The 24889-nt window shown below is 41.3% G+C and overlaps 2 annotated features.

Annotated features, from left to right (window-relative positions):
- Positions 22153-22918: an enhancer, noted in NCBI's record as "OCT4-NANOG hESC enhancer chr1:208547462-208548227 (GRCh37/hg19 assembly coordinates)". NCBI's record gives its function as "activates a minimal SCP1, AML or CMV promoter by ChIP-STARR-seq in naive and primed H9 embryonic stem cells {active_cell/tissue: H9 hESC(naive and primed)}" and the evidence as "EXISTENCE:reporter gene assay evidence [ECO:0000049][PMID:30033119]".
- Positions 22380-22674: a silencer, noted in NCBI's record as "tiled region #8874; HepG2 Repressive non-DNase unmatched - State 24:Quies". NCBI's record gives its function as "represses a minimal TATA promoter and a strong SV40 promoter by Sharpr-MPRA in HepG2 cells {active_cell/tissue: HepG2}" and the evidence as "EXISTENCE:reporter gene assay evidence [ECO:0000049][PMID:27701403]".

Here is a 24889-nt window from a genome sequence, read left to right on the forward strand (position 1 = left end):
TTTCTCAGAGGATCTCCCCATAGTTAAGCCAGGCGTGACTGTATATGTATATTTAATCCTCTAACAATGCTGGAGATAACGTTATCTCCATTTTACAGATGAAAAAACTAAGCCTCAGGGAGGCTAAGTAACTTAATTCAGACCACATTAACATGCCCTGGGTTTTTATGAATTCAGAGTTGTAATCAGCCGTCGCCTTGTGTGGCCAATTAGTTTATTCCTTAATTAACCCTGTGGAAGAGTGTTGGGAAGGCAGGACTTGGAATCAAACAGAGTAAGTTAAATTCTGCTCTTGGAACTTAATAAGTAATGGCCATTTAGCAAATTACTTAACTTCTTTGGCTCTCAGTTTTCTTATCTGTAAAATGGAGATTTATATCTAGCTTATTACGCTTGTTGAAAGGACTGAATAAGATAATATATGAAAAATGCCTAGTACAGAATCCTCAAAGAATGGTAACATTATTTAGGCCACAATTGCTAATAAGAATCACAATTGGGAAATATCACTAGGCTTATAGCAAGTTGTGTTATTTGAATATCAGACCGATCAATTCATGTTTCTTTACTTCTTGTACTTGCAACCAGTGAGAAAAAAAATGTGTATATTACAGTAACAAATGGCCTCCAAATCTTACTGGCTTGCTGCAACACAGGTTTATTTCTCCCCCTACGCTACGTGTCTTAGTCTGTTCCAGCTGCTATAACAAAATATGTAAACTGTGTAGCTTATACCCAACAGAAATATATTCCTTCTGGTTTTGAAGGCTGGGAAGTTTATGATCAAAGCACCAGCGATATAGGTGTCAGATGAGGGCCTGCTTCCCTGTTCATAAGGAAGCCTCTCTCTGTGTTCTCACATGGAGGAAGAGGAAAGCTAGCTCTCTCTGGCCTCTTTCATAAGGGCACTCATCCCATCTGTGGGGGTTCTACTCTCATGACATAATCATCTCCCAAAGGCCCCACCTCTTAATACTATTACCTTGGGGATTAGAATTTCAACATATTAATTTTGGGGGGACACATTCTGCCCAGAGCACTCTGTGTCCAAATGTCGAGTGGGTTGGGCTGCGTCCCATGGTCATCTCTACTTTAGGACTCAGGCTGAAAGAGCACTTCCTGGCTGGGCTACTCTAGTGATGACAGAGGGAAAAAGACATGGTGGACCAGAAACTAGCTCTGAAGCCTCTGCTTGGAAGTGACACCTATCACTTCTGCCCACGCTGCACTGGTCACGCAATCCCATGGTCACTCCTGAGTTCAACACTTGCAGCTCAGTATAAATAACCATTTCACGTGGAGACACACTGCAGGGAGTTGGAAACCAGAGTATTTAGCACATGCTAAGACAATCTGCCCCAAATTGTAAATGGGGCTGCAAATGATTTTGATAATCTTGAAATTTACCGAGTTTGGTCTTATGTACTGCTTAGATTTGCCTAGGGATGTTTAGGTTTGTTTTTGTCAGTTATAATGAACTGATGTATTGCCTAAAATAGCAAAATACACTTAGGCCTAGTAAAAACATTTTTTATTACTGGAACTCTTGTAGGAAAAATGACTTTGTTATGGCATGTTTAGAGATCTCTAGCACCAAGACTTTTTTTCCCTATTAGAATAATTGTTTCTGTAATGTTATTTTTGATAATGTGATATTTCTTAGAAATACAATCATTATTTTATAGTACAAAAGAATGCATTTCTGTATTTTTCAGAAATCTGAGCTGTAATAGCTTTTGATTGCCCCATGTTCCAGAGAAAGGAAGCATCAGAAGACTGCTCCCATAAACTTAATTTTCTCTATTTGAACATTTCCTTGCTCCCATCTCTACTGTAGCATTTATCCTGTTTCTGCTTTATATTTGAGTTATTTATTTACTTGCTGATCACAGTCTGCTACTAGAATATCAGTTTCTAGAAGGCACCAACTATTTCTTTCTGGTCTCTGTGTCCCTTCTGCTACCCAGTCTTGCTTTGAATAAGGTTTCTTGAATTGAACTGGGTGATACACCGTGGAATACTATGCAGCCATAAAAAAGGATGAGTTCACGTCCTTTATAGGGACATGGATGAAGCTGGAAACCATCATTCTCAGCAAACTATCACAAGGACAAAAAACCAAACACCGCATGTTCTCACTCATAGGTGGGAACTGAACAATGCGAACACTTGGACACAGCAAGAGGAACATCACACACTGGGGCCTGTCATAGGGTTAGCGGGGTGGGGAGGGATAGCATTAGGAGATATACCTAATGTAAATGACGAGTTAATCGGTGCAGCACACCAGCATGGCACATGTATACCTATGTAACGAACCTGCACGTTGTGCACATGTACCCTAGAACTTAAAGTATAATTAAAAAAAAATACAAAAAAACACAAAACAAAACAAAACAAACAAAAAAAAAGAATTACCCTTAAATATAATATAAACAAATAGGCTATCTCCTTCTGCTTCTTGGGTTTAAAAGCCGTAAGAATGTTTTTCCTTCTATAGAAAATAAAGTAGAGCTCTTGCTAAACCATTTCTAGGGATCATAAAGTAGAATCTTGCTAACTATTCCTAAAGATCAAGGGTTTAATTTGTTCCTTCTAAGTACAAGGCCGACTATGCCAGTTGGAAGCTAATTTTTTTTTTCTTCTGTTCTCACCCCACTAAACATTTGCTTGTGCAGATCACATTTAGAGATGTTCTACCTATTGGGTTTTGTAAGATGGGTGGGAGCTGGCGGGGAGGAGAGTGAGAAGGAGGGAGGTTTGGGGAGAAATGACAGGCAATTGAAAAACAGGGAGAGGCTTGTATACCTTTCTATTTGAAAAAAGAGGGGCTATATGCAGTCCTGATAGAGTCTTTTATATTAAATTGAGGGGAAAAAATTCCTTCTCTGATTTTTCTGGCTGAGACCTAGGGTCAGCACAACAAAGCATGATGTTACCTGGTAGCCGATTCAATATTCAGCTTTTTCCTAAAGACAAGGGAAAAAGACAAAGGCTGGGATAGTTCCATACAAAATGATTCTATTACCCACCTCTAAATGGCAAGACTTGAATAAGGAGAAGTCTACTTACTTAAATGATAATGAGTTTTTTACAGCTTGCTTAAGAGTCACATTGACTGCCTTGTTTACCAAAGCAATGGTTGAAATACAGCACAGAATTCTAAGGACTAAATGAGTGCACACAGGTCTTTTGGGTGCCTAACTAGGGAGCTCGCTTACCTTTGCTCCTTGGGATGCCTGGATGTCCACAGGATACCAGATTCTCTACAGGTGTCCAGATTGTATACCCTATTCACTGTGTAGCCTGGTTCTCTTTGCGCAAGCCTTCATTTTGCTTCCCGCTGATCATGAACACATGTACATTCCACTTTGTATTTTTGGGTTCCTGAGTTACATAAAGTAGACCAGCACTGCTGATGAGCTTTCCCATTATCTAAAATTGTTTTGGCAGCAGGAGGCAGGAAGGAGATAAGAGAGGGGCACAGAAGGGGAGATTTTGGCTGGCATCTTCTGCCTTTCCCCACATGGTATTTTTCAGTTTGACAAAAGCCCTTCTACATTCATTTTATTGTGATGGTATGACAGGAAATAACCTTGCCTTGTGATCTGTAGACCTGAATTCTAGCCTTACTTTTGACTCTTTTAACTCATTTATTAAATATATTTTGAGTGCTTTCTACCCTGTGCAAAGCCCTAGGGGGTACAAAGATGAAAAAGTCGTCATCCTTGCCTTTGAGAGATTCAACATTTAGTGGAGAAGCATGTAAACACAAAAAATGTGGTAAAAATACAACAAGATAATGTGTGTAAAAAGGTATAGTGTATGGTTTTAGATATTCATCCAATAAACGTGAGCTACTGTTAATATTCCTTCTATTATTAGTGTGCCAACAGAGGCATGTTCAATATGCTGCAAGATCACTAATGAAAGTTTGTGCCTGGGGTGTTAGGTGGGGAACAAGAGGAAGGCTTCCCAAGAGAAACTGCTTTTGACCAGAGTCTTAGAGGAAGAACAAAAGAGCCATAAGGGAGCAGCTTGGGGTGGGAGGCTGGATGGGGGAGGGAGAAGTTAGGGAAAGAATATCCTTACGTAGAGGACTATCTGGTCAATGCAGGAATGTATGGGAGTGTGTGTGTGTGTGTGTGTGTGTGTGTGTGTTCAGTTTTGGCTTGGGTAGGGTGCAACAGTGAGGTTGAGTGATGAGAAGTACGTGAAGGGCCTCAGATCCTGCTTGGGAAATTTAGATTTTATCCTCTAAAATGTAAGACCAAAGAGAAAACACTTCATATATTTCAATGAGATTTTTGTTTCAGGAAGCTAACCATGCCCCCTGGATAATCACATGTCAATGCACAACTGACGCACATCCATTGACCTCAGTTTTTTCATGATAAGCCATGATCTGCTTACCAAGTAAACATTCTACATTCATCAAAGTAAGAAATAGGAAGGTGAAGGTCTTCTTTGTCATGATATTATCTTAAACATATCCTATCATGCACTTAATTACTTCAGGGCCTTTGCTTAACCACCTACCTTCTCCTTATTCCCCTAGTATCACTGCTTCCTACCTTCTTTGAATTTTTTCAAGTTGTCAGCATCTTCTTCTGGGCCCCACTCAAGTTATTTCTGCTCTAAGAAGCCTTCTGCATTCATTCTCTACTGCTTTGTAACAAATGAACACAAACTTCATGGCTTAAAACAACACCCATTCATTTTCTCACAATGTCTGAAGGTCAGGAGTCTGTGAACAGGTTAGGTGGGCTCTTTGTTCAGGATCTCACAAGTCTGAAATCAAGGTGAAATCTAGTCTGCATTCCTTTCTAGAGGTCAGCGTCCTTAAGCTTGTGGATTCGTTGGCATTATTCAATTCTTTGCAGTTGTAGAATGGAGGTCCTTCCTTTTGCAGTGGCCATTGGCCAGGAGGCTCTCTCTCTGCTTCTAGAGGCTGCACACCATTTTCTGCCTCATAGCCCTTTCCACAACACAGCAGTTTGTGTCTTCAAGGCCAACAGGAGAGCATAGGCTGCAGCTTGGAATCTCTTTTGCTTCTTCTAGACCAAACTTGTCCAACCCGTGGTCTGTGGGTCCCAAGCAGCCCAGGACAGCTTTGAATGTGGCCCAACACAAATTCTTAAACTTTCTTAAAACATTATGTGATTTTTTTAAAGCTCATCAGCTATGTTTAATGTTAGTGTATTTTACGTGTGGCGCAAGACAATTCATATTCTTCCAATGTGGCCCAACACAAATTCTTAAACTTTCTTAAAACATTATGTGATTTTTTTAAAGCTCATCAGCTATGTTTAATGTTAGTGTATTTTATGTGTGGCGCAAGACAATTCTTATTCTTCCAATGTGGCCCAGGGAAGCCAAAAGATTGGACACACCTGCTCTAGACTCTCTTTGCAAAAGACCCGCCTGATTAGGTTGGGTCCACCCACACTCAGAGGAAGGGGCTGATACAGGACATGCGTGTCACGGGGTGGAAATTTTGGGAGTCACCTCAGAATTCTGCCTACACACCTTTCCTTACTACCTTATAAAACAGTTGTTCTTCACCTTCTTGAAATTCTTAAAGTTCCTGTGTGGTCTGTTCCCATCCACTCTGTGTAAACACTCAGTTATATACTGCTTCCTATTACATTTGAGCTGTTGCAGGACTAGTCTCTTCAACTTTCAGAACCAAGAAGATGCCTCCTTTTTTTTTTTTTTTTTTTTTGTATCTATTTGTGCCCCCACTCAGTGCTGGGAGACTGGAAACTTAAAAGGTACTGCTGTTTTTTCTTCACTTTTTGATCTTGTCCTGAACTTTTTTGTGCATATGTTTTTTATTGCCATGCTAATAACACGCAGAGCAGTGGCCTTGCAGTGAAAGAATGCTCGGGGCCCCGGGAGAACTCGCTGAAATTCCATGCCACACGATATCTCTGTGGAGGCAGTGAGTGCAGTCCTGCAGATTGGAGATACTAAATTTTGGAGCCTCAAGGTAACTAGAGAAACAGCTTTGTTTGTGAACAGGAATAAATTCTCTGCTTAAAAATGAAATCTTAACTTTCAGTTAATGTCTAACAGAAGCTTATAAGCTTTCTCTGATAGGTGATCTACCTTTGAACTCAGTTTCTGTTTCTCCTTTGGAGACCTGGTTTTAAAAGGGGAGTGACTTGGTAAGCTCCAAATCTACCCCCAAACGTTTTATCTGTTAGGATAAACCTTCCAAGGAAGGTGTAGTGTGTTTGGAAAACAAATGCATAGCAAATGCTGTTTGAGGCAATCCATGTCCACTCAACTAACCGAGCTTGACAGGTTCTAAGAGATGATAAAGCATATGAACTACTTTCCACACAGAGAGCAGAGCTTAGAGCTTCTCTCTATTAGCACCACCTCTGGCTATGGCATAGCAAAATCACTCAATAACTTTTGATGTTGAGTTTGAACAACAACAACAACGGAAAAGAGTTCTGTCCCCATTTGTTTTTTTCATGCTTGCTGTAATGGCAGATTGTTAAGACAGGGCCATTAAATATATAAGTGCATGGCCTTGTCCTGGTCAGGTCCGAACCCAACCCACCCACGTTGTATATACAGACTGATGTTTAAAGTTGGGAGATGGCTGTGTATATCCAGAACAGACAGATGTATTGTGGATATAAAGAAAATGTATACAATAGACTGAATTTCAATGTATACAAGGGAAATACACGCTAGACATGGTTATTGCTTGGAGGAGCAGGGCTGAGAGTCAGAGGACGAAGGACTCCAACCTTCTAAAGCCTCATTACTGAGCTATTCTGAGAGGCAGAAAATATCTGGTGACTAGAAATCCATCAACAATTCCTCCTAAACTTAATGGTTTTATTATCTCCCCATAGTCGCTTACAACAATCCAGAAAATCTAGGACAGCATGTGACCCATTCCGGCTGGTCATAGTTGTAATGCTTACTTAGTTCAGAGCCCCAGACAAAGGCATGGGATTGTGCATGCAGAGCAAATGTGATGAAGCCTGATTGTCTAGGGAGGATGTACCATTGCTCCCTTCTCATGAAGATTTTATTAGAATTCATAGGAAATCAGAACTGAAAGCAATCCTAGAGATTGTCTTACCAAATCTCTCATTTGCAAATGAGAGAACAACTGAGATTTGGATAAGGTAAAAATAGCTTGTGTAAGGTCAAACCATCAGGTGGTAGCTAAGAATGGCCTGGGGCTTGCTCAGCTCCTCTGATTCCTTGTTCATATTAAATGTTCTTCTGTAATCACGGACACAGAAAAGATTTTAGAACCTTCACTCTCAGACTTCAGAATACTCACTGTTTATTGAGTGGCCACTGGTTGTGGGGCTATGTACTTGGCATGTAGAAAGTAACTAAAAACAAAAGACTTTTCCTCCACATGAAGAGGCAATTTTCACAGATTTTTAAGGAAGTTTCTCCTACTCCTTGGTGTTACCAGAAACTCTGCCATAAGTGCTCCATTCTTCTTGTTTTTTTTTTTTTTTTGAGATGGAGTCTCGCTCTGTTGCCCAGGCTGGAGTGCAGTGGCGCGATCTCAGCTCACTGCAAGCTCCGCCTCCCGGGTTTACGCCATTCTCCTGCCTCAAACTCCCGAGTAGCTGCGACTACAGGTGCCCGCCAACATGCCTGACTAATTTTTTGTATTTTTGGTAGAGATGGGGTTTCACCGTGTTGGCCAGGATGGTCTTGATCTCCTGACCTCGTGATCCACCTGCCTTGGCCTCCCAAAGTGCTGGGATTACAGGCGTGAGCCACCGCGCCCGGCCCAAGTGCTCCATTCTTTAGCTTAAGACTTATGTATCTATTAAGATGCAATTATCTTCAAAAGAGGCATCCCCTTCCATCTACCCATGGACTCTCAGGATGAATAATTTCACCATAGCCCCTCCTGATGAGGAAGAAGAGAAAGGCCTAAGAGAGCTAGAGTGAGAAGAAAGGCCCTTAGAAGAAGGCTAGCGTGAGGATGGGGCTGAAAAACAAATTTCAATGAATCATAGTCTTTTCAGGGTCAGCCTGATGGTGAAAATAGTAGAAAATCCATAATGTGTTATATAGATTTCCCTAAGGTGCAAGAATAGGAAGAAAGGAGAGTGGCTGTAGTCAATTTCAAAAATAGACACAGTTCTCCACCTGTGAATTTGGGCTGTTTTTGTGACTTGCTTTAGATAATTGAATGTGGCAGGAGTGCTGTCATGCTGATTTTGAGTTCAAGCCTGGAGAGGCTCTACATTCTTCCTCTTTCTCTTGGGATGCCTATCACCACTGCCCTGTGAATAAGCCCAGGCTCGCCAGCTGGAGGATGAAAGACCATGTGGAGCAGAGATGAGCCATGCTAGTGGAAACTTCTTAGACCACCCACTCACTTGTCACCTGTTATAGGCTGAATTGTGGCACCCTCAACCTCTAGTTCATACATTGAAATCCTAATCTCTAGAACTTTAGGATGTAATTATATTTGGAGATGAGGCCTTTAAAGAGGTAATTAAGTTAAAATAGGGTGTGTAAATTGGACTCCAATTCAATATGAATAGTTTCCTTGTAAGAAGAGGAAATTTGGACACAAACATATGCAGTCACAGAGAAAAAAAGAACATCATGAAGACAGAGGGGAAAATGACAATCTACAAGCCCAGAAGAGAGGTCTTAGAAGAAATCAACCCTGCTGATACCTTGATTTTGGACTTCCTTCCAGTCTCCAGGAAATAAATTTCAGTTTTTTTTAAGCACCCAGTCTGAGGTACTTTGTTATGACAGCCCGAGCAAGTGAATATACCACCTAGCAAATAACTATAGATGCACATGCAAGTTTTGCCAAGATCAGCTGAGCCTGGCTCAGATTAGCAGAACGACTCAACTGATCCCAGCCCAAATTACCAACCCATTGATTGTGATATAAATAAACCATTGCTCTTTTAAGTCTTTTAAGTTTTGGAATCATTTTTTACATGGCAATAGATAACTGATACAGTGGTTAAAGACTCATCAGACATCCTACTGCAAATGCATGAATGTTGATTTTGCATGCAGAATTCATAGCATTCCCCACTGGTCCTTGTGGGGGTGGGAGGGTATAGAACAGAGTTTATTCTGTATTGATGAGACCCACCAGTCTTCCATTCCCAACTCTAACACCATCAGCAAGAAGAACTGTTACTGATGCTGCTCTACTTGTTCTCTATGCTTTCTAAATTGTGCCCACTCTCAACTGGTATAACAAACTCCCCAACTAGGAGTCAGACAACTTATTTCAGTTAGTGCCAGGGCAACCATCAGAGGCCGGGTTATCATCCGTGAGGACCATAGGAAGAGCAGCCCAACATGGTGGTGCAGGGAAGAAAGGCCACACATATTGGTACTAAATGCTTCTAGGTTGAATTTCTAGGTCTGCCAACTTATATGTCTTGGGGGAAGCTCTTCAAGGTGATGTTTCTTATGTATACAATGATGTGGATAGCAACATGTTCTTCCAGAATTGGTGTTCCATGTGTCAAGTTCACATAATGGCAAATAGCCCAGCATTCTGAACATACTAGGCAGTCTATAAATGTCAGTTGCCTAACAGTATCGGGAGGCTACGATTCAGTTATTTGCTAATGTTTGATTAGTGCTAACAAGTGCCAGGCACTATTTCAGGCTCTAATAAGACAGTGGGTGAGCCAGATAGATAATGTCCCTGCTCTCATGGAGATGACATTCTACTGGGGATATTAAGGGGTTAGAAACTATCTATTTATCTATCATCTATCTATCTATCTATCTATCTATCTATCTATCTATCTATCTATCTATCTAATCATCTACCTCTCCTATCTCTATCTATCCATCTATCTCTACCAATCTATCATCTATTTATCAATTGTGGGGTACTTACAAGGTAGTGAGGCTCTGCTCCCATCCAGTTACCTGTAATCAGAACAGTGTTTCTTCTATGTGTTTTAGATAATGGGCTTCCGAGTAAGGATTGATTTGAAGAAAGGGTTATCTAGTTGGAAAAAAAAGAATTTGTAAACTACTCCATTGGTACATCTGCCATCAGGGAATTCCATATTTTTCCTCATGTAAATGATTTTACAAGTTAACTCAAGCTTACTACTTTAATTTGACAATGTTATAAAAATATATAGCATATAAAAAGGAAATTTTAAAAATATGGCACACTTCTCTTTCTTAAATAGAGTATGTTAAGCACAGAGTCTGTTGAACAGAATGCACACTTTTCTGGATGCTTCCAAATTCTCAACCTCTCCAAAGCGTTTGACAACACTGACATCCTGCTCTTTGAAATTTTCCTAGGCGTTCACAACACTGAATTATTTTTTTTTATACTTTTGGGACTACTTTCTTCTCAGTTTCCTTAACCAACTCCTGTTTCTCTTCCTACCCCTTAAATGTCACTGAAATTCTTCTTTTGTTGTCTTCATTCTCTATGTAGAGTCAGCAATCTTCTTCTTGCAGATGGAAGATGACTCCTGATTTCATATATCAAAACCCATTTTTTTTTCCATGGGGAATAAAACATTTTAGCTTCTTATGCGGTAGGCATGGCTACCACAAGGTCCCAGGGGGCACAACAACACAAGTCCAAATCTTGGCTCCTATGTCTCTAAAAAGCAACTCCTACTCCTGCCTTCCTTAGCTGTGGTGTGGTGCTATCTGTCTGCCAAGCATCCTATATGGAACCTCAGGGTCTTCAGCATCTAATCCTGTCTTTTCATGCCTAGCCTACAGTGGTTCTTAAGATCTGTTGATCGAGTTCTACAAATTCTGACTTCTTTTTATGATCCTAGTTCAGGACCTCATTTTCTCTCACTTGGACTGTTGAAATTGTTTTCAAACTGATCTCCTTACCTTTATTATCTGGCCTTCACAACTATTTATGTATTGCTTTGAGAGTACTTTAAAGAAGAGCTTTGATTGTATCACTTGCTATTGGAAAATCTTTATGGCTTCCCACTGAATATAAAATAAATTCCAGATTTCTGAGTATGTCACCCTCCCTGACCTGACTCCAACTTGCCTCTCCACATTATTCTCTATACAACTCTGACTTTGAATGTTCCTTGTACTTAAAGTGTTTGTTTTTTGCTTATATTTATGTTTATTCTCACCTTTTTCCATTTGTCTAAATTCTACCTACCTCTCTATTCATGTATAATTTTAGGTATTTTCTTAGGGAGAAATGAATAAACAGTGGTTTGCCTATAAGCTACAGATGGAGAGAAAGTATTCACACTATGCATATTTGACAAATGACTTGTTTTTATCCAGAAGAACTATTACAATTAAATAACAAGAGAATCCCATTACTGAGTATACACCCAAAGGAATAGAAATCATTCTATTATAAAGATACATGCATGTGTATGTTCATTGCAACACTATTCACAATAGAAAGGACATGGAATCAACCTAAATGCCCATCAATGATAGACTGAATAAAGAAAATGTGGTACATATACACAATGGAATCTACACAGCCACAAAAAGGAATGAGATCATGTCCTTTGCAGGGACATGGATGGAGCTGGAAACCATTATCTTCAGCAAACTAACACAGAAAGAGAAGACCAAATACTGCATGTTCTCACTTATAACTGGGAGCTGAGTCATGAGAACACATGGACACATGGTGGGGAACAACACACACTGGGACCTGTTGAAGGGTCAGGGGTAGGAGGAGGGAGAGCCTCAGAAAGAATAGCTAATGGATGCTGGGTTTAATGCCTAGGTGAAGGGATGATCTGTGTGGCTATTCACCATGGCACATATTTAACTATGTAACAAACCTGCACATCCTGCACATGTACCCCTGCACTTGAAATAAAAATTGGAAATTAAAAAAGATCAAAAATTTTATTCACAAAAATATGTGTAAATGGCCTATAGGCACATCAAAATATGCTCAGCAGCATGAAAACTGCAACACAGTATATATCATATACTAAGCCAATTAGCTAAAATTAAATCTGACAATCCCAGGTGTTGATGAGGTTGTGGAGCAACTTGAACTCTCATATGTTTCTGATGGGAATGTGAAATGATCCAATAACTTTAGAAAACAGTTTGGCAGTTTTTCATTAAAATAGACATATACTTAACACAGGACTCAATAGTTTCACTCTGAGGTATTTACTCAAAAGAAGTGAAAATATGTCCTTACTAAGATTCATACCTGGATATTCTCAACAACTTTATTTATAGTAGCCCCAAACTGGGAACAATCGAAACGTTCATCAAGTGGTAATAGGTTTTACCTGTGTCCCCACCCAAATCTCATCTTGAATTGTAGTTCCCATAATCCCCACCTGTCATGGGAAGGAACAGGTGGAGATAATTGAATCATGGGGGAGGTTTCCTCCACCCTGTTCTCATGATACTGAGTTAGTTCTCACGAGATCTGATGGTTTTATTAGCGGCTTCCCCCTTTGCTGACCACTCATTCTTTTCCTTTCTGCCACCATGTGAAGGAGGATGTGCTTGCTTCCCCTTCTGCCATGACTGTAAGTTTCCTGAAGTCTCCCCAGACCTGTGGAACTGTAAGTCAATTAAACTTCTTTCCTTTATAAATTACCCAATCTCGGATAAGTCCTTATAGTAGGTAGAGAACAGACTAATACAAGGGTGAATGGGTGAAACAATTATAATATATTTAAGCAATAGAATTCCACTCAATATTAAGAAGAAATGAACTACTGATATACACAATAGCATTGACGAATTTTTTTTCTTTTGTTTTTGAGATGGAGTCTTGCTCCGTCATCCAGTCTGTAGTGCAGTGGCATGATCTTGGCTCACTGCAATCTCCGCCTCCCAGGTTCAGGTGATTCTCTTGCTTCAGCCTCCTGAGTAGCTGGGATTACAGGCGGGTACCACCATGACTGGCTGATTTTTGTATTTTTAGTAGAGACGGGGGTTTCACCATGTTGGCCAGGCTGGTCTCGAGCTCCTGACCTCAGGTGACCTGCCCACCTTGGCCTCCCAAAGTGCTGGGATTACAGGCATGAGCCACCTCACCCAGCCTCACTGACGAATCTTAAAATATGCTAACAAAAAGAGACACAAAAGACACATATGGTATGATTTTATGTATATGAAATGCTAGAGCTGTCGAAACTAATATATCCTGAGAGAAAACTGATCAGTGGTTACCTCGGTCTGGGAGTGGCAGGGACTACTTTTCAATGGAACATGAAGGAAGTTTTGGGACTGATGGAATTCTTTTATATCTTTTTTGGGGGTTGTAAATATGTCAGAGTATACATTTGTCAAAGCTAACTGAACTGCACACTTAAAATCGGTATATTTTGTTATATGTAAATTATACCTCAATAAAACTGATTAATAAGTAAAAGAATAATATTTTTGATTTCTGGTACTTACCTATAAGAAGACTTTTCAGGCCCTTACTCAGACACTTCTTACTTTATTTTAAATAAATTTTAAAATATATTACATAATTTCCTAGTCTAGATGAAATATATTGCTAATGGCAACAACTCTTAAACCAGACTGCCTGGATTGAGGGCTCTGTAACTTAATGATTTTGGGGAAATTGTTTAACTTCCCTATCCCCCAGTTTTCTCAGCTGCTAAATGTGGGGATAACAATACTATCTGCTTCATTGTGTTGTCACAAAGATTAATATATGTGAAATACTTAATGCAATGTTTGGTGTATAGTAAGTGCTATATGCATCTTTTTCCTTCTGTGGAGTACCCTTTTCAAAATGTTTGTCATATTCTGAGTTGAATTTGAGCTACTTGTTTTTACGTGCTGTTGCCATTTGATTGTAAGCTGCTTGAAAGCAAGGGACATGTTTTGTTCTTAATGTCTCCTAGAGAATCAACCATGGCACAACATTTAGGATAGTTGGTTGAATTTTTATTCCCCTATTAGAATGTGTCCAAATATTGAGATAATACTAGAACTAGCAATCTGTGAGTGTCTATTGCACACAAACACTTATTTAATTTTCAAAACAACCTGACAAGATAGGCATTATTATTAATTCAATTTCAGAAATGAGAATTCTCATTTCTTGATCAGAGAGGTTAAGTGACTTACCCAGGGCCATGTGGCTAGGCAGGGAGACTAGATTTTTTTTTTTTTTTAAAGATAGGATCTTGCTCTTTTGGCCAGGCTGGAGTGCAGTGGTGTGATCATGGCTCACTGCAGCCTTGAATTCCTGAGGAGGTTGGATTTTAATGCTGTCTTAGGACTTTGATGTTTTATAGAACCATTTGCTTCTATGCTGAGAAGCCTGATGTGGTTCTGTTTTGTGTCATCTTGTGTCTGATTTTTATGTTTTTTTTCTTTCTATTCTCTCTACCCTCCTGTTTATGCCAGACTTTTCACGTTGTCCATGTACATGAGACTGATAAAATCTACCACTGCTCCCTCTTTACCTCCAGTAACTTCCATTGACAACTGTTAACGGCCAAGAAATTATAATAACTCACTTTGCTTAAATTTTATGTAAAGCAAGAGTAAATAGGCTCTGAAGGAGGATATGTCGGGGGTTTCCTATAATTGTCGTTCAGGGCAGGAGCTTTTCTGCAAATTTTTTAAAGAAATGATGTATAATACAGAGTCAAATGGACAAATCATAGGTGCAAAGCTCCATGAACTTTTACAAAGTAAATACCCATGTAATCATCACTTACATCAAGACATAGATAATTACCAGTAGCCCAGAATCCTCCCTGGTTTAGGGCAGACACATATGATTCAGAGTTCTTCTTTGCTTATGCCTGTGTTCTGGATGGTTGCACTTCTGAATAAGTTAATATTATTCATGAATTTTCATAGTCTGATCTTTGCAAATATACAATATATCCCTGAAGTACACAGACAATGCAGCAATGCCTTAGTCTTCTCCTATGTCTGGAAAGCGAGCTGCATAATGGTTAGAAAAAGGAGACAAGGATGGTGGGAGGATTATGGAGTTGATGAGCTCAGTGCTCCCAGCATTGGCTCTTTTCTGCAGAACCAACTCACTCAGGGCAATATTGCCCCGAGTTCCAAACTGCACTGAGTCTGTTTGCAGAGTTCTGCATCTCTGAAAGATAACTTCAGACCACTGTTTCCCAGCCCCCAAGGCATCCTAGAAAGCAGCTTGTGTTTCTCTGTGGGTATCACATCTCCTGCTCCTGCCCTGTGACAGTGTTTCTTTTAAGCTTGCTATGTCCTTTTGATCTGCTGAAAATGTCCTTCTCTATACTTCTGATTAAAATGAAATTAAACCTGGGGAGTAGGGCAGGGGAGGTTGGGGCCAGAGCATGAATGTGTTGCCCGAGGCCCTGGCTGGGCCATCTTCCAGCTTCTGAGAGACTACTCTGGCCAAAGGGGTCTTCGGAGAGGCAGCCCCAACAAAAGGCTGGCTAATGTGCACTGAGAAAGAGCACTCTCGCCTGCCCCCTCCCCAGCACTGCTGGGGCTGGAGATGTGGGCTGCATTTGGAAGCTTAGCTGCCAAACCTACTGTAACAGGGGGAGGGGAAGAACTGAGGGAGCTTCAGCGAGACTTTTATCACCCATTCTGGCCTTCTGTAGATAATGGGCTTGATGCTTCTTTTTCCTCATTTTATTCGTCTGGTGATTAGGTGATGAGACTAGAAGCCCTGGGCAAACTCCAGTGCGTCTTAGTAAACCATCTCTGTGAAATGGTTAAGTTTACTTAGAAGGTAACTGGAGAGGTGCAAGTGGAAGAATCACCCTTATGAATTCAAACCCAAAGCCCTGAAGATGAGCTCTGGAGGGGGAATCTCCAGGCAGGAGAGGCCCCGGGCCAAGTGCTGCTCATGTGGCCAATGCCTGGGGTTCTTTGGCTCCGGGATCTCCTGGGATAACAACCCACGTGGCTGACTTGCTCTGCCTTTCTTCCTTGGCCCAATCTAAGCCTAAATGCCTTCCTTGGAGGCCCTGTCTTGACCCAAGCAAAATGGATCTTTTTGAAAGACTTTACTGAACTGAATAGTAAGAGAAAGCAAGAGTGAAAGAAGCCCAGGAAATATGAGACATATATTAAATATCCTGGCTCACTTCTCGTATGGGTTCCTGATGCTACCACATCCTGCCTGCCCCAAAGGCTGAAGGTTATATCTTCTTTTACCAAAGGTCTTGCAAACTCAGATGGCTCTTTGACTGGGATTCTTACTTCTTACGTTTCAGTCTATATCCATGTGGGCATGGGGGTTCACGAATGAGGAAAAAAAGGCTGCCCTGTATTAGCTTCTAATGTGTTACAGACACTCTGCAAAGTGGTTTACGTGCATTATTTTATTTCCTCTTTCCAACAATCCTATGCAGTGAGTACTATTAATCCCATTTTACAGATAAAAAAACAAAAGCTCAAACAGATTAATTAATTCTGTGGCTCAAGACCACAAAAACTGGTAAATGATGGAGTCAAGATTTGAACCCAGGTTTTATAATGCATGACCCAAGACTACCCTCTTAAATGCTGTAACAATTCAAGGTCAAACCTGAGAAAAGACTGTTCTATTGTCCTTCAGCCTCTGGACTAAGTAACGGGACTTTTCTCTTGGTAATTGCCCTATGAGGTATCTGGGTCTTTGCAACAGGTGTACAGTTTTGTCCATGGGTGCCAACCATATAGTCACATTATTATGCATTATCATACTTCAGCATTCGTAAAAGATCTACACAAATTAAATAAAGGGAGGGTCACTACTTCACAAGATGATTTTGTGTCTTATGAAAGGCTTCAACACAAGATTCTTTTATCCGGCAAACACAGCCATGCATTTCAAGCATTAACTGATTTGCATACAATCACCCAGGAATACATCTCCTCTGCATGAATAATCACTGTTACAGTTAGAGCAGCTATCATTTACTGAATATCTACTATGTCCCTCAAACTTTATTTACACATTTTCATTCATCTATCAAAACTTGGCAAGGTGGTATTATCTTCCCCATTTTAGAACTGAAGCTGGCACTTTCCCATACTTACAGAGGTAGGGAGGAGCAGAGACTCTAAACCCCGTTCTGCCTGACTTTAGAGACTTTATGCTTCTTACCATTCCAGATGGGCACATGAATGAGAAGATGCCTGCTCTAATTCACTTCAACAATCTAGCTCACCATCATATCGTTAGTACAAATTACTTTTTTTCTTTTTTTTTTTTGAATAGGGTGGTAAACTTCAAATACTTCTCAATCCCTGATAAAATCTTCTTATTATGTGAACTTGCTTCCTCTTTTGCTTTCACTAAAGTGCTCTCCAGAGTGACCTTGTCCCCTTCAAACTTCACTTCCTCTTTAGTCCTGTCCCCTTGTCACATCATATCAACCACCCTCTATCCCCCTCAGTATTCTTAGTCAAATAAATTCAATTTTCTCCACAAATACTTTTTGGTGGCTTAGTTTCTGCCATTCCCTTTGAATATGAAGAAGAAGGTGATAGACGACCCCAGGCTTTCAGGGATCTTCTATTCCATTAGATTGGAGCTGTCAGGAATTAAAGAATTGATTAAGCAATTATTTAGTCAATTAAAATAGTGATAGATGCTACTGTGGGGAAACAAGTGTTAAAAAGCAGGTGCAGTTTCAATTCATTTAGTACCTATGGAATACTTGGACTGTGCAATGCACCTTACATACTTTAACTTATTTAATTTTCTTAATAACACTTTGAGGCAGGCTCTGTTCTTACCCCCATTTAATAGCACAGACAGGTGAAGTAACTTATTCAAAGCCTTATAAGCAGTGGGTGACAGAGCCAGGATAGAATGTCAAGAAGTGTGGCTCTGGAGCCTGGAATATTAAAGCACTGTTAGAAATGAATATGGAGAGTATCGACCTAGGGAGTAATGTTTTGTTGACATTAGAATGGATGAAAGGAGATGACAGGAGAGTGGAAAGAAAGCACACGTGGCAGAGGCAAGTTCAGTTGCAAGGCCCTGAATAGGGGTTGGGGATGGGGCAGGGTGAGCCTGTGAGGCTAAGGAGACAGGTGCCATCCCACAGCCCTTGTGGGCCATAGGCAAGGGCTCTAGTTTTCATCCTGAGAGCTATGTAGATCCCTGGAAATGTTTCAGCATGAAGTGTGGGTATTTTCATCTGCCGTGCACTTTTTAATCTGGTCCTGACTACTGACTGCTGCTGAGGGGCATCTCTTAACCTTGGCCTCTAACTGAAGCTGAGCCTCAGGGAAGTCCCCTCCCATAAGCAGGGGTTAACATGTCCTCACTGGCCTCAAGTCACCCACCTCATCACTGCTGTCACCAACCAGCCCACCAGGAGGGCACACACGCACCCCACATTATTCTTGGCTGGTGATCCTGCTTGCTCATCACAGAAATAACTGAGGCTGTGAGGCTGTTAGGTATCGTGCCTTGACTTTACAAACATATGTGTATGGGAATCCCACAACCACCACTTACTAACCCGTGACTGGGGGCATGTTGTTTAGCCTCTTTGTGTCTCAGTTTCCTCATTTATAAATAGGGAATAAAAAAGGTATTGCTTTATGAATTCTTGAGAACATGAAATAAGTTAACATATGTAAACATATATTAAGTGTGCAATATTTTTGAATGTATGTAAAGTGTGCCTGGTATATCAGAGTGCTTATTATTATTATTATTATTACCATGACTCTTACTTCTGTTGATTTGCACCTGCCTCAATCAGTTCTCCTAGTCCCTCCTCTGTCTGTACGAAGCAGTAGGGGATGATGACTCACTATGTTGCCTAGGCTAAAGTGCAGTGGCTATTCACAGGTGTGTTTATAACACACTACAGCCTCCAACTCCTATGCTCAAGGGATCCTCTTGCCTCAGCCTCCCAAGTAGCTAGGACTACAGGCATGTGCCACCAGGCCTGACTTACCTGTACTCTTGACCTATCCTCTCTCTCTTTTTTTTTGTAAGCCTTATCCACTGTTTTTTTCCTCTTGCTTACAGATTTCCAAAATTTCTCTCACTTCTGATACAGTTCCCAAACCTTGAGAAAATTTTCGTGTGTCTCTTAAACAAACAATTAAAAAAGGCAAAACAACAATGAAAAAGGCAGAAACAATAGCAGCTTTGTCCTGCATCTCTCTCCACCCCCGCCTTTCCAGGCATCCCTCATCACCGAGCCCCCGGAAGGGCATCTCCTCTGGTTGCTTTCACCTGCTCAGCCTCCTGTTCATCCCTCAGCTTCCTGCAGTCACGCTCCTAAGCTAATTTGCTCTGAGAAAAGTGCTCTCATAAATCTCGCTAATGACTTCCTTGTTTTCAAATCCAAAGGACTCTTCAGTTCTTAGTGCAGCAGGTAAACTTTGAGTTGTCCACTACTTTCTTTCTGAACCCCTGTCCTCCCTTGGCTTTGGAGATGACTGTTTCATTGGGTTTTCTTCATCATCTTGACATTTTCTTCTCAACTGCAATTGTGTGATGGTCTTTCATGTTCTCTTCCTTTTTCTACTCCTTAAACTCTTGTGTTTTTTTGGTTCTCACTTGATCTGAGAATTGCATCTGTGTTCAGGTTTCTACCTATTTCCTATGTCCTGGTTCCTCATGTGTCTGTGTCTCCAGCCTGGATCTTCAGCCTGAGCCCCAGTCTCATATCCCAGATACGAGATACCTGGATGCCTCACAGGTTGCTCAACTCCATCATGTCCCAAACACAATCAGTGGTGATCTTTCCTCAAAACAGGATCGTTTCTTTTTTATCTCTCTTTTGAATAAATGACCCCAAAATCTGCTCATTCAGCTAGAAATCCAAGACCCATCCTTGCTCTTTCTTCTGCTTTACCATGTGACCATCTAAGTGGCTATGGAATTCTGTAGACCCTGCCTCCAGCCTCACTCGTTTCTCTCCCTCTTCTCTCCTGACATTATAAGTCACTCTTGTCCCAGCTCGGGCTGTTCTTCTCTTATCTGGTCTTTTGTGATAGACCCCTATATTGGTCCATTTTCACATTGTTGATAAAGACATAACCTGAGACTGGGTAATTTATAAGGAAAAAGAGGTTTAATGGACTCACAGTTCCACGTAACTGGGGAGGCCTCATAATCATGGTGGAAGGCAAAAGGCACATCTCACATGGTGGCAGACAAGGGAAGAGGGCTTGTGCAGCGAACTCCCCTTTATAAAACCATCAGATCTCGTGAGACTTATTCACTGTCACAAGAATAGCACGGGAGAGATGTTCCCCCATGATTCAGTAGTTACCTCCCACTGGGTCCCTCCCACAACACATGGGAATTGTGGGAGCTACAATTCAAGAGGAGATTTGGGTGGGGATACGGCCAAACCATATCAACCCCTAATTGATCTCCCTACTTCCAGTGTGTTCCTCTGGCATCCATCACACATTGGGCTGCTTCTAGGGTGATTCTTCTGAAGTGCAAACCATGTTGATCTTTCCCTTGCTTAAAATTCCAAAATAGTTGCTGAAGAATGAGTTTCAACCTTCTCAGCATACCATGTATGGCCTGTTACACTCTGGTCCCTACTTGCCCTCATCATGGGCCCTTCACTGTGTGCAAAACTCCCTGCAGTTCTTAGAACGTGCTGGATTATTTGATATACCTGGCCCTTTGCCTATCCTGCTTGCCCCCTCTGCCTTGTGAGCATCTCCTCAACCTAGAATCTTGGTCTTCTCCACTTTTTTTTATATAGGCTTCTATTTTAGCATCTGTAGAATTCTATATTTTTCACTTATTTGTTTGCCAAATCTTTAGTTCTGCTCACTCTCTGAGGGCAGGGTCTCTCTTTCTCTCTCATCTCTAATGCCACATGCTGTACTGGGAGTGTGGTAGCTGATCTTTAAATGTTTGTTGAATGAATGAATATATCTTGAATGAGTAGAGAGTGCAAAATGTCTCCCTTTCACAATAGGCATTCTAGTGTAGGATGTAGAAAACTGTAACTTTTGGTAAGTCAATGGACCTCTCTGAAGTCAGTTTTCTCATCAATAAAGTTTGAATTACAGTATATCAGCTTCAAGGCTGAGAGATGAGCTAGACAGTATTTTGAGGTCTCTCTAACATTCAGAACACTTTTAGATGAATAGGATTTATTAGTCTAGTTTCCTCTCCTTGCCTAAAAATGTTTTTTTTTAAAATGCATTTTAAATACTACTGGAACTTACTGAGTTTATTAGTTGTATTAAATACTTATATATTAAGTGCTTAAAAACGTAATTGGGTGGGGTATGGTGACTCATGCCTGTAATCCCAGCACTGTGGGAGGCTGAGGCAGGCAGATCACTTGAGCTCAGGAGTTCGAGAACATCCTGAGAAACACGATGAAACCCCATCTCTACAAAAAATACAAAAATTAGCTGGGCATGATGATGCATGACTGTACTCCCAGCTGATTGAGGAGGTGAGGAGGGAGGATCACTTGAGCCTGGGAGGTAGAGGCTGCAGTGAGCCAAGATGGAGCCACTACACTCCAGCTTGAGTGACAAAGCGACAACTTGTCTCAAAATAAATAAATAAATACATAAATATGTAATTGTTGTGTCATTCTATCAGTAATCCACTGAGGAGGTATTTTCATTATCCCCATTTTGCAGTTAAAGAGGCTGAGGTCTAGGGTCATTGGCCAGTGGGTGTTGGAGCCAGGTTTCAGACACAGTCACATCCATGGTGATGAAGTGTGATTTACCCCTGTTCTACACTATCTCAATTTTTGAAGCTGTGGTTGGGAACCAGGTTTCATTTTATTATAATATAGGCCAGGGATTGGCAAAGTTTTCCTGTAAATGTGCAGAAGGTAAATATTTTATTCTTTGCTATTGCATATTCTTTTTTTGTGTGTGGTGGAGAGGAGGGGTATTTTAATTTTGTTTTGCTTTCTACAATCTTTTAAAAATGTAGAAATCATTTTTCATTTACGGGCCATACAAAAACAAGTCATGGGTAGGGCAAGTGGCTTTATCCTTCATAGAGTTAGCCTTTTTCTCCCTGAGCTTACCAAGTCAGGACAGTTTTTCTATTAGAACATTGAAGCAACACAAGAATCAACGAATGTTTCAGTAAGTCTTGTTAGAGAAGATCAGCCAGATTCCACAGTAAACAGACTGACAGTCACAGCCTCCTTTGCAGCAGCCTACAAGAGTTCCATTAAATGCTGACCAGCCAGGCCCAAAATGTCAATGTCTGCTCTGTGAATAGTCCCTTTTTATAGAATGGCACATCCTGTAGAGAGCCAATATCTTAACTTCATCATTCTGGTCTCAGTAACTTACATAAGATCTTCCCCCCAAAAGATCTGTGATAAAATAGGGAAGGTGACTCAAGATCTTTGACTGCCTGGTCTTAAATCTAAATCAATCAACAAGTTAAGAGTCTATTTAACACCTCTTCCCTAACCTCTAGTGTTGCATTTGGGATACAAGAGAACAAAAGCTCCCCGATGAAATTTTAAATACACAAAGAGAAGACAGGAAATCCCGTGTTTCTTAACCATTTTGGAATGAGAGACCCCTATGAATACTGACAAACACTATCAACCACATACTCAGAAAAATGCCTGGGTGATGATAGGAAACAATTGGCATTCATTATCAGGGGATTCTTGCCCTGCTGGAAGTCTAACCACAGGCTCAGTTTCAAAAGTCCTGTTTTAAACAATTAGAGAAAGATAAAATGCTGAGATGTGTGGGGTTGGGTGCAGAATCAGCTCTCCTGAGCCCATTGTCCCTCTGGAGACCTGTGTTCTTGAGTTGCCCACCCACCTGTTTCTGGGTCAATGCCACCCCTCAGTCACCAGTAAGAAAGATCTGCTTCCTTGGGCCTGCGGTCTATGTCATTTGAGCTGATGTGAGATGCAGCATGGTGCCCCCGAGGCCTGCTCCCCTGCGGCCTTCCTACTCCTTATCTTTGTGTGTCATGTTTTCCAGCCAGCGCATCTAATGGGAGGTCATGGTACTCTAGCTCGGCATTTTCCTCTGAGTGTTTTTCCATGAGTCAAGGGCAGCCCTCTGGGAAGCAGGACGTACATGCTGCCTTCTCAGACTCTTGTTCAGTGGAGCATGGGTTCAAAATAAATGTTATTCTCACTTCAAAATGTGAACTTTGCCATATGCCCACCTGATCCATGGAGAGAGCTAAGGCAGGCAGAACGGAAATGTGGGTGAACTCTCAGGTCCTGTGGGGCCAAGAGTAGGCACCTGAGGGCTGCCATTGGCTATGCTTGACAGCTTGGCAGTGGCAGCAGAGGTGGCCACGAAGCTGGCTCCTCAGAGCCCGATGTTTGGCTCCTGCATGTGTGGTCTCATGGCTGCTGCAATAAGTTGTAAAGTGTCTCCCAAATTTTCATGTTCACCTGCCACCTGGGAATGTGGCCTTATCTACAAATAGTCTTTGCAGAGGTCTTCATTAAGGATCTTGAGATGCAATCATATTGGATTTCAGGCAGTCCCTAAATTCAATGACTGGTGCCCTTAAGGAAGAGGAGAATACCCAGGGAGACAGAAAGAAGAGTGCCATGTGAAGATGGAGGTAGAGACTGGAGTGATGCTACCATAGCCAGGAAACACCTGGAGCTAAGAGAAGCTGAAAGATGCAAGGAAGGGGTCACCTCCAGAGCATGGCCCTGGAGAAACCTAAGATTCCTGGCCTCCAGAATTGTGGAAGAATAGATTTCTTTTGTTTTAAGTCATCAGGTTGTGGTACTTTGTTATAGCAGCCCTAGGGAACTAGTACAACTGCCTTCTAATTGCTGTAGATGACAAATGGGCTGACCCCTGCGTGAGTGGAGACCCCTACTCGAGGCTACCCTGGATGATGCTGATGGAGGAATGACTGAGGTCCCAGAGCCTCTGGTGTGAAGAACCTGCAGGTCTTGGAGGTGCTAATTTATTGAAATATTCAGCAAGTTGCCTGACCTTTCTGTGTATTGGTGTCTGTGGCCAGATAGAAATCCACATCTTCCCAACTTCTACTTGCCCACCTGAGTTCCCACCTGAACTGAAGAAATGCTAGCTCTCAGTCCAGCCTTGTGAAGAGAACCACATACTACCCTCCAAATTCACCCTGCTTTTTTCTTTCCTCCTCAATGTCTTTGCTTGAAGTTTCCTCTCCATCTGGGATAATCCTTCTCATATTCATCCAGTGTTAAACCCAAAATGAATTAATTATTATGTGTCATCTCTTATACTAAACTATAAGTTACTGGAGGTAGAGGTCATTCACACTCATCCCACAGCCAACCCTGAACACAGCATTTTGTAAAATCCTCATTTGTAGTTCATGTTACACAATATCCAGTATAAAGGAAGAGTTTAAATTCATTGCAAATGCTAACGGTGATGTGCTCATTTTGGTATTATTAAATGGCAAAGAACCTCATGTTTTTCCTCATGAGATTTTTCTCTTCAGTTCTAATCCCAAATGTCATTGAATTTGGTTAAAATTACAGAAGATTGTATCATGTTTTTGTAGGTAGAAGTCAAACCTTAGAGTCAGATAACTTGGTTTCCATCCTCCACCATCTACTTCTCATGCAGCTCTGGGTACAGCTAATGCTTGATGTGCATGTGGATTCAGATGACTCTGTCGATAGGGATAGTAAGGCTCATCTCGCTGAGTGTTTAAAGGATGTACGAGTCCTGTCAGATGGATGGTGGCCATTGGATGTTAACTCCTTTATCCCCCTATTTTTTTTTTTGAGACGAGGTCTCACTCTGTCGCCCAAGCTGGTGTGCAATGGTGCAATCTCAGCTCACTGCAACCTCTGCCTCCCAGATTCAAGCAATTTTCCTGCCTCAGCCTCCTGAGGAGCTGGGACTACAGGCTCACACCACCATGCCTGGCTAATTTTTGTATTTTTAGTAGAGATGGGGTTTCACTACATTGGCCAGGCTGGTCTCGATCTCCTGACCTTGTGATCCTCCCGTTTCGGCT

The sequence above is a fragment of the Homo sapiens genome, chromosome 1 (assembly GCF_000001405.40).
Source record: "Homo sapiens chromosome 1, GRCh38.p14 Primary Assembly".
Taxonomy (NCBI): Eukaryota; Metazoa; Chordata; class Mammalia; order Primates; family Hominidae; genus Homo; species Homo sapiens.